Source organism: Homo sapiens, chromosome 12 (genome assembly GCF_000001405.40).
Source record: "Homo sapiens chromosome 12, GRCh38.p14 Primary Assembly".
Classification (NCBI taxonomy): domain Eukaryota; kingdom Metazoa; phylum Chordata; class Mammalia; order Primates; family Hominidae; genus Homo; species Homo sapiens.
The window spans coordinates 132,676,789-132,686,792 of NC_000012.12; the positions used below are offsets into that span (position 1 = coordinate 132,676,789).

General features: G+C 48.0%; 1 protein-coding gene across 5 annotated transcripts in view; it reads right to left on the reverse strand.

Annotated features, from left to right (window-relative positions):
- POLE (DNA polymerase epsilon, catalytic subunit) overlaps window positions 1-10,004 on the reverse strand; it is a 63,581-nt gene that overhangs the window by 53,027 nt on the left and 550 nt on the right. For all 5 annotated transcript variants that reach the window (XR_941395.3, NM_006231.4, XM_011534795.4 and 2 more), the window contains exons 2-8: window positions 4,350-4,491; window positions 3,819-3,899; window positions 3,390-3,434; window positions 3,166-3,258; window positions 2,709-2,863; window positions 790-931; window positions 575-655 (exon numbers count right to left, since the gene is read on the reverse strand). Coding sequence is in view for 4 of the 5 variants with exons in the window: in NM_006231.4 (NP_006222.2) it covers window positions 575-655; window positions 790-931; window positions 2,709-2,863; window positions 3,166-3,258; window positions 3,390-3,434; window positions 3,819-3,899; window positions 4,350-4,491 (739 nt within the window). In the remaining variant the exon portion in view is untranslated. The remainder of the gene's footprint in view (window positions 1-574; window positions 656-789; window positions 932-2,708; window positions 2,864-3,165; window positions 3,259-3,389; window positions 3,435-3,818; window positions 3,900-4,349; window positions 4,492-10,004) is intronic.

Below are 10,004 nucleotides of genomic sequence, written 5' to 3' on the forward strand. Positions count from 1 at the left end.
TAAGACTAACCAACCTACATCAAGAGTATCACGACTCCCTATGGTATGAAAACTGACATACCTAAGAGAGCAGCTGATCACAGGACAAGCCTAAAATCACAGAACTTTAGGAGAAAAACTCTTCAAAAGACATCACCTCATTCTGGTGGTTATGACAACTCTGAAAGGTAACTGTGGCACAGAGATGATATCTTCATTTCGGAAAAGAGAAAACTGAATACAAAGACTTTCCCAACACCACAAAGTCATGTTTGAACCAAGGCCTTCTAGTTACAAATCCATTTTTCACCATGTCCCTTCACTATCAACTACCCAAACGGAAGTCCCAGCTTTCCCTCGAGTGTCCAAATCCTGCCTAGCTCAAACACTGATGTCATACAGTGATATACAACAAAAAAGGAAATGATACTGTCAGAAACTGATGAAAAATTCTAACTCCATATTTCCTTTAATAAAGTATTTGGGGGAAAAGCAGCAAACATATCTTTGAGTCAGATTCACTCTCCAGCACTGAAGAATATTCTCTCCAGAAAACTGGAAATTTTAGGATGAAGGTAACACAAGCAAAACTTACAGGTCGTTCAACAAGGTCATCTCGGCGGGTGATTTCTACCGGAAAAGCATTTCCTCGGTATCTGACATTGTACCAATGAGCCTGCAAAACACACAGTGTGCTAACTAGAGTTCTACATCCAGGAAAGTCTATTCTTCTGTGGATTCACCCATAATGATCATCTCCTGGCTGTTAGGAAATTCATGTGAGCAGCGACCCAACCCTGCCCCACTCACCACGTGGATCTTCAGGTCAATGGAGAGGCGGATGTGGTAGGGAACATCGTACTCGCGCATGTCCACAATGTTGTCCAACTGGTCAGCTATCTTCTTAGAGGTTTCCTCTTCATCAGTAATGACACCGCCCCTCTGCAGAACACTAGGAATTAACAAGAGAGCAACTAACTCAGCTGCCAGGGTCTGGAGGAGGTGAGACCAGAGTTCCAACTCAGTAGGAAGAGGTGAGACCAGAGTTCAAACCGAGGAAACACAAAAGGTAAATTGATGTGGTTTCAACGACCAAGGCAGTCCTTCCTTTAAGAATGGCTTGGACTGGGCCAGGCGTGGCAGCTCACGCCTGTAATCCCAGCACTTTGGGAGGCCAAGGAAGGCGGATCACCCGAGGTCAGGAGTTCGAGACGAGCCTGGCCAACACGACGAAACCTCATCTCTACTAAAAATACAAAAATTAGCCAGGCGTGGTGGCGCATGTCTGTAACCCCAGATACCTGGGAGGCTGAGGCAGGAGAATCACTTGAACCCAGGAGGCGGAGGTTGCAGTGAACCCAGATTGCGCCACTGCACTCCAGCCTGGGCAACAGAGCGAGACTCCATCTCAAAAAAATAAAGAATAGCTTGGATGATAACTCTACAGACAGGAGAAAATTCAGTGTAAGATGTATTCATTTTATATGATGTGAGTTACACCCCAACTAGAAAAAAAAAAAGAGGGCCAAGCATGGTGGCTTATGCCTCTAATCCCAGCACTCTGGGAGGCAGGAGGATCGCTTCGGCCCAGGAGTTCAAGACAGGCCTGGGCAACATAGGGAGACTCATCTCTACAAAAGTAATAATAATAATAATAATAATTAGCCAGGCATGGGGTACACACCTGTGATCCCAGTTACTCAGGAGGCTGAGGTGAAAGGATCGCTTGAGCCCAGGAGTTCGAGGCCACAGTGAGCTATGATTGCACCACTGCACTCCAGCCTGGGCAACAGAGCAAGACCCTGTCTCAAAACAAATAAGTAAATAGAAGAAAAAAGAAAGAAAACATTAAGTGCTGCCAGTCAGGAGAGCCAGGCATGACCATCCCACCATGGTCCTGATACTCAGGAGGCTGCCTCATGCAGGCTGAAGAGCAGGCCTGGGCTTCACACAGCCTGTGCATGGGTCTCTGCCATGTCTAAAGAAGTGGCCCACCATTGCGGCCACTATTGGCCTATAAGCTCAAATACTGAACGGGCTATTCAGGGGGAAAAAGACAGACGAGTCTCAGATATGGCTCAAGTCTCTGAGGACTCAGTCTCTGATCACACCTTCCAATATTTCAAAAAGCAACTTGTGGCATTGCCAGGGAAGGCGGACTCCGGGTAGGGACTGTAGAAATGTTCAGCATCCCAAACTGATCCTCTTTTGTCAGAGGGTAAGGTAGGTTCTTCCGAAGTCATCTAAACTTCATTACTCAAGATTTTCTCTTCCTAACTGGTTACTTTGCATCCTATTATTGTTGATGCTCAAATACTTGAAGAACAGTGTTTAGTGTTCTAGGCTTAAATTTCTGTGGACGATACCCAAGGTTCTCTGGAGATGTGCTGTGTAAATCTCAGCACTTAATGAAATTCATAGATGGATTGTGTTAGGGCAGTAGGATGAGGGATCTTTTCCCCTCTAAGGTGACTTTACTATTACAACCACTCAATTTTAGAGCCATAAACCCACCCCTCCATTGGAAAAGAGAGCTAACACATAAAATATAACCTGGGAAGCCACTGTTTATTTAACACAGAACATACAGAAATCTCTACCTAATTGCTCAAGTTTTCCGTATCAAACAGAGCCAGCCATTAAGGTAACTTTGTTGCTACGTGTTCCTGTCTCCTATCCATCTTGTCGTTCTGAACCGCTGATGCTTTGCTCACAAGACCAAAGTTTACCTGGAAAGCAGAGCTGTGTACGCGTCGCTGGCGTGATCCTGCTCCCTGTTCTTCTTCACGGCAGGGGAGATCTCCTTCCTCACTTTGACAAGATCCTCCACAGTGTGGAAGGACAGCCTGATGTAATTTCGCTTCAAACCCACCAAGTGATTTGGCTATAATGCGAAGAGATCACGCTCATTGGTTCAAGAGAAATAGGACTTTATGGGTGAGAGGGTAAACACTCAAAGGTAAACACACAAGTCAAAGAGTTGGCGACTTCAAGGCACCTTGTCCAACTCTGCACGTGGCACCAACTAACACCACTAGAGCTCTTTGGAAGGAATTTTATAGACGGTCACCACACCGCCCCATCACCCAACAGATGACCTGAATTTCTACCTCTTCCGATCCCACCTGCCAGGAACAATGTAGACTCTGGCCTCATTTACCCCTGGAAAGTCTGGGTGATACTCACCAAGTCCAGATCCTCTTTGGGGACAGTCTCCACTTTTGCAATTTTGCCCTGAAACTTCTTGGAGAGAAAAGATGAAACTTCTCGCTCACAACCCTAATCAGGATCAGAATGAAAAGGCTTTCCATTGGTAAAATACATTTCCTTCCTTGCCTATTTCCCAGTTGCAAAGCCCACCACAGAATGACACACAGGTCGTCTGACCTGAGTCTATGAAACACACTCACCTTTCTGGTCGCAATGTAGAAATACGGTTTATAGGGCAAAGCCACCTGTTAAGAGTCACCAACCCATCCAGGGGTGATGAGAAAGAAGAAAGCGAGAGAAAAGTGAAAACACATTGCTTGCTCCTATATCCCATGAACAGCCTAGGGCCAGGGTAGCCTTGACCTTGGTAGCATACAGGAAGTCAGAATGCGCACTTTTCACAGGGGCAAGAATCTGAAAGACACGCTACTTCTCACCATTCAGAGTCTTCCTGAACTGACCTCTCTCAGGACATCTTACGTGATGACTGATGGGGCCTCCAGGGGCCCGAGTTCTGCTGGGCTATGGGCTGCTGTGCACTGGAAGCCTCCCATGCCCTCCCTGACAGTCACAGAGCTACATGAACACCCATAAAAGTGGGTTTTAGCTTGTCGCAGTCAGGGGCTTACCTTAAATCTGCTTCCGTCATCTTGAATAAAGTAGTAATCCACTGCACTGCCTAAGCGCTTATCTTCATCTAAAATCTCGGTCTACAAGAGAATCAGTCAACACAGACACAAGACCATCCTCTACACAGTTAGAGAAACTTTCCTCCTACCTTTCGGGAAACTCAGCACTTTAGAAACAAACCCTCTCATCTAGGTCTTTACTCCACCCCTACATTAACACTACCAGCCTTATTCACAAGAACCACACTGTAACGGCCTCCAAATGGGGATCTCTCTCAATTTCTCCCTCATAATCCTTGAAAGCTTTATTCTGATGGCTAAAAGAGATGCCCATCACCTCCGGCTTCTCACAGTGGCCTCTCTGTGGCCCTCAATGACGTTAAAGAGGAAAGGAGAGCTGGGAACCTTCACATCTCCCACCTGATTCACTCAAAGTTCCCTCATGTGTCCCCCACTCTTTAGATAAGGACCACGCTATGACCAGAAGGGTTGCAGCCATATTCCTGGGTGGGAGAAGGACCTAGTGCTTACAGGATGCATGTTAATGAGCCAGCCTGTCTTCTCACCAGGCTCCTTCAGCCGCTCAAAACCAAACCGCAAATCCATCTTATCCGTCCACTGACTCCGTTCCAGGCGCTTGAGTGCCGAAACTGAGGAAGTGGCGCCATCATCCCTGAGTGAAAGAAGGGAACCCCGTGCTTAATTTGTAATGCCACCTGCTGCTGCTTCTTTTTTTCTTTTTTTTCTTTTTTTTTGAGACGGAGTCTTGCTCTGTCGCCTAGGCTGGAGTGCAGTGGTGTGATCTCGGCTCACTGCAAGCTCCGCCTCCCGGGTTCACGCCATTCTCCTGCCTCAGCCTCCCGAGTAGCTGGGACCACAGGCGACAGCCACCACGCCTGGCTAATTTTTTGTATTTTTAGTAGAGACGGGGTTTCACCGTGTTAGCCAGGATGGTCTCGATCTCCTGACCTTGTGATCCGACTGCCACCTACTTCTGCAACCCTCATCCCACCTAGTGTTAAGTGTTTCGGATATGACAGGGTATATATATTCCTGAAAAACCCCGAGCTTGGAAAAAGGCTCATTAAGATAAAAGGACTCATTGGAAAAACACAATTAGGGCAGGCCCTTCAAAACCTGTTCAACTTTATAACCAGAATACTAACAAAAAGAGTCATGATGGCTAGACACTGTTGCCTCTTGGGACACTAAAAATGCATAAAACTAGCCAGACGCGGTGGCTCATGAGAGTGCATGTAACACTGACATGATTTGAATAAAACAGACGGATTGTCAGGCCAGGCACAGTGGCTCACGCCTGTAATCCCAAAACTTTGGGAGGCCAAGGCGGGTGGATCACCTGAGGTCAGGAGTTTGAGACCAGCCTGGCCAGCATGGTGAAACCCTGTCTCTACTAAAAATACAAAAAATTAAATCCCAGCACCGTGGGAGGCCGAGGCGGGCGGATCACGAGGTGAGGAGATCTAGACCATCCTGCTAATACAGTGAAACCCCGTCTTTACTAAAAATACAAAAACTTAGCCAGGCGTGGTGGTGGGTGCCTATAGTCCCAGCTACTCAGGAGGCTGAGGCAGGAGAATGGCGTGAACCCAGGAGGTGGAGCTTGCAGTGAGCCGAGAACGCGCCACCACACTCCAGCCTGGGCAGCAGAGCGAGACTCCGGCAAAAAAAAAAAAATAAATAAAAATAAATAAATAAATAAATAAATTAGCTGGGTGTGGTGGGGTGGGCCTATAATCCCAGCTACTCAGGAGGCTGAGGCAGGAGAATCACTTGAACCCTAGAGGTGGAGGTTGCAGTGAGCCAAGATTGCGCCACTGCACTCCAGCCTGGGTGACAAGAGTGAAACTTCGTCTCAAAAAAATAAATAAAATAAAATAAGATAAAATAAATTAGATGGGTCGTCTCAATGTCAATTTCTTAGTTGTGACAATTGTACTCTACTTACACAAGATGTTATGGTGAAGTGATACGGGAATCTCTGTATCATTTCTGACAAATGCATGAGAATCAATCTACAATTACCTCAAAAAAAGGTTGAGGGCCAGGCGCAGTGGCTCACAACTGTAATCCCAGCACTTTGGGAGGCCAAGGAGGGTGGATGACTTGAGGCCAGGAGTTTGAGACCATCCTGGCTAACATGGTGAAACCCCGTCTCTACTAAAAATACGAAAAATTAGCCGGGCGTGGTGGCGGGCGCCTGTAGTCCCAGCTACTCGGGAGGCTGAGGCAGGAGAATGGCGTGAATCCAGGAGGCAGAGCTTGCAGTGAGCTGGGATCATGCCACTGCACTCCAGCCTGGGCGACAGAGCGAGACTCCGTCTAAAAAAAAAATAAAATAAAAAAAGAACAAGATAAAAAAAGAAAGGAAGACCCTTCCTTTGTCTGAAGGTATTCCTTGGATCACCTTCAACTCAAGAGCAGAATGACCATATTCCAAGACTAGGATCCTTACTTCTCATGAAAGATTATAACCACTTGTGGTAGGCAGGCAGGATGACACCCCCCATGAAAGACCCACATCCTAATCCCCCAAACCTGTGAATGTTATCTTACAAGACAAAAGGGTCTTTGCAGATCTGACTAAATTAAGGGCCTTGAGATTCTGCTTAGCTGGGTGGGCGCAGTGTAATCACAAGAATCCTTGTAGAGTGAGGCAGGAGAGCTAGAGTCAGGAAGGAGAAAGGGATGGGAGAGAGAGGGTAGGGGGGAGAGGAGATGCAACCCTTGGTTCTGAAGATGAAGAAGCAGCAAGGAAACAGATTCTCCCCCGGGAACCATCACAATAAATATAACCAACCAGACACTTTCATATTACGACTTCTGACTTCTAAAACCGTAAGAGAATAAATTTATATAGTCACTAAGTGATCATGTGTTACTGCAGCAATAGGAAACTGATACACCACCATACTGTATAATAAAGGTTTAATCTTTTAAATAGTTGAATGCACCCGTAATCAAAAACACAGAAAAACTATATTCCAAATCTTGCTAGAGAACAGCCTCAGTTCTGAGTCCCAGATCTTTATCAAAATCAAGAGTGAATGAAGTGCTATTTACGAGGCATCACCTCTTAACAGGGGCGCACGGCCCTCTATGCCAGTCCTCCAAATATCCTTGCCTCAAGTAAGTTGGATTAAGTAGACTAGAAAACTGCTCACTGGGACCATATTTCCTCCCAAAACTGCTTTCTCTGAGCTGTGTATCTCACTTTTAATCCAGGGACAGTAAGAAATCTGAAAAATGGGGATAAGTGTCACACAGGGAGCTACCATCGACTGGTTACTATATCACACCGTCCCAGTACTCCACACAGGCTCTCATTCACAGAGAGCTACCATTGACTGGTTACTATATCACACCGTCCCAGTACTCCACACAGGCTCTCATTCACAGAGAGCTACCATTGACTGGTTACTGTATCACACCGTCCCAGTACTCCACACAGGCTCTCATTCACAGAGAGCTACCACTGACTGGTTACTGTATCACACCGTCCCAGTACTCCACACAGGCTCTCATTCACAGAGAGCTACCATTGACTGGTTACTGTATCACACCGTCCCAGTACTCCACACAGGCTCTCATTCACAGAGAGCTACCATTGACTGGTTACTGTATCACACCGTCCCAGTACTCCACACAGGCTCTCATTCACAGAGCTACCATTGACTGGTTACTATATCACACCGTCCCAGTACTCCACACAGGCTCTCATTCACAGAGAGCTACCATTGACTGGTTACTGTATCACACCGTCCCAGTACTCCACACAGGCTCTCATTCACAGAGCTACCATTGACTGGTTACTATATCACACCGTCCCAGTACTCCACACAGGCTCTCATTCACAGAGCTACCATTGACTGGTTACTATATCACACCGTCCCAGTACTCCACACAGGCTCTCATTCACAGAGAGCTACCATTGACTGGTTACTGTATCACACCGTCCCAGTACTCCACACAGGCTCTCATTCACAGAGAGCTACCATTGACTGGTTACTGTATCACACCGTCCCAGTACTCCACACAGGCTCTCATTCACAGAGAGCTACCATTGACTGGTTACTGTATCACACCGTCCCAGTACTCCACACAGGCTCTCATTCACAGAGAGCTACCATTGACTGGTTACTGTATCACACCGTCCCAGTACTCCACACAGGCTCTCATTCACAGAGCTACCATTGACTGGTTACTATATCACACCGTCCCAGTACTCCACACAGGCTCTCATTCACAGAGAGCTACCATTGACTGGTTACTATATCACACCGTCCCAGTACTCCACACAGGCTCTCATTCACAGAGAGCTACCATTGACTGGTTACTGTATCACACCGTCCCAGTACTCCACACAGGCTCTCATTCACAGAGAGCTACCATTGACTGGTTACTGTATCACACAATCCCAGTACTCCACAGGCTCTCATTCACAGAGCTACCATTGACTGGTTACTATATCACACCGTCCCAGTACTCCACACAGGCTCTCATTCACAGAGAGCTACCATTGACTGGTTACTATATCACACCGTCCCAGTACTCCACACAGGCTTTCATTCACAGAGCTACCATTGACTGGTTACTGTATCACACCGTCCCAGTACTACACACAGGCTCTCATTCACAGAGAGCTACCATTGACTGGTTACTGTATCACACTGTCCCAGTACTCCACACAGGCTCTCATTCACAGAGAGCTACCATTGACTGGTTACTGTATCACACCGTCCCAGTACTCCACATATGCTCTCATTCAGTTTTCATGACAACCCCTACGAGGGAGGCCACTGGTGTCCCCATTTCACACAAGAAGAAACGCAGGCAAACAGCACCCACTGCCTCCTGGGGCACACTCACCTCCCAGGACTGTTTTAAGGATGAGATGAGGTAACCCACATAAAGCATGTAAGGTAAAAGCCATCACTTGTACTTATCCCAGCAGCAGCCTTCCCCCTGCCTGGAGGCCATCACTGAGCTTGGGGCAGGGCAGTGGAGTGGAGCACGTGAGTGCAGTCCTGTGTCCTGAAGCAGGGCAGTCAGTAACCGTCTCTAAGCTCCAAGTTCCAACACACCATGTAGACCCTAAGGGTACCTGCCTCTCTAGGGCTTGCCTGATATGGACAGACAGCGATGAGCACAACAGCAGTTAGGGATCCTTACCACTTGGTTTCTCCTCTGGGAAGAATTTTGTTCAGCTAAGTGTCTGTAAAAAGCTTCACGTTCTCACACGTTTTTTCTATTTTTTTTTTTTTGAGACAGAGTTTCATTCTTTGTTGCCCAGCCTGGAGTGCAATGGCGCGATCTCGGTTCACCGCAACCTCCGCCTGCCGCGTTCAAGTGATTCTCCTGCCTCAGCCTCCTGCGTAGCTGGGATTACAGGCATGCGCCACCACGCCCCGCTAATTTTGTATTTTTTTAGTGGAGACGGGATTTCTCCATGTTGGTCAGGCTGGTCTCGAACTCCTGACCTCAGGTGATCCTCCTGCCTCGGCCTCCCAAAGTGCTGGGATTACAGGTGTGAGCCACCGCGCCGGGCCTCATCCGTTTTCTGCTTATGGCAGGCCAGTCCTCCGGTCATGTTTACCGTTTGCTCTGGCCACCAAGCAGCCGCGTCTTATCCTTGCTCTATTTTTTTTGAGACTGGGTCTGGCTCCGTCGCCCAGGCTGGAGTGCGGTGGCGCGATCCCGGCTCACAGCAGCCTTGACCTGCCGGGCTCAGGTGAACCTCCGGCTCGGATTCGGGAGTATTAATAGCTGGGACCTCGGGCGCGCACCACCAGCCTGTCTAATTTTTCTTGTTTTTACAAGAGAAGGGCCGGGCGCGGAGTCTCACGTCTGTAATCCCAGCACTTTGGAAGGCCGAGGCGGGCGGATCACCTGAGGTCAGGAGTTCGAGACCAGCCTGGCCAACATGGTGAAACCCGGTCTCTACTAAAAATACAAAAACTAGCCGGGCCTGGTGGCGGGCGCCTGTAATTCCAGCTACTCGGGAGGCTGAGGCAGCGGGATCGCTTGAACCCGGGAAGCAGAGGTTGCAGTGAGCCGAGATCGCGCCACTGCACTCCAGCCTGGGCGACAGAGCGGGACTCCCTGCCCAAAAAAATAAAACAGAGGAGACGAGGTCTCTCTCTGTAGCCCAGGCTGATCTAGAAC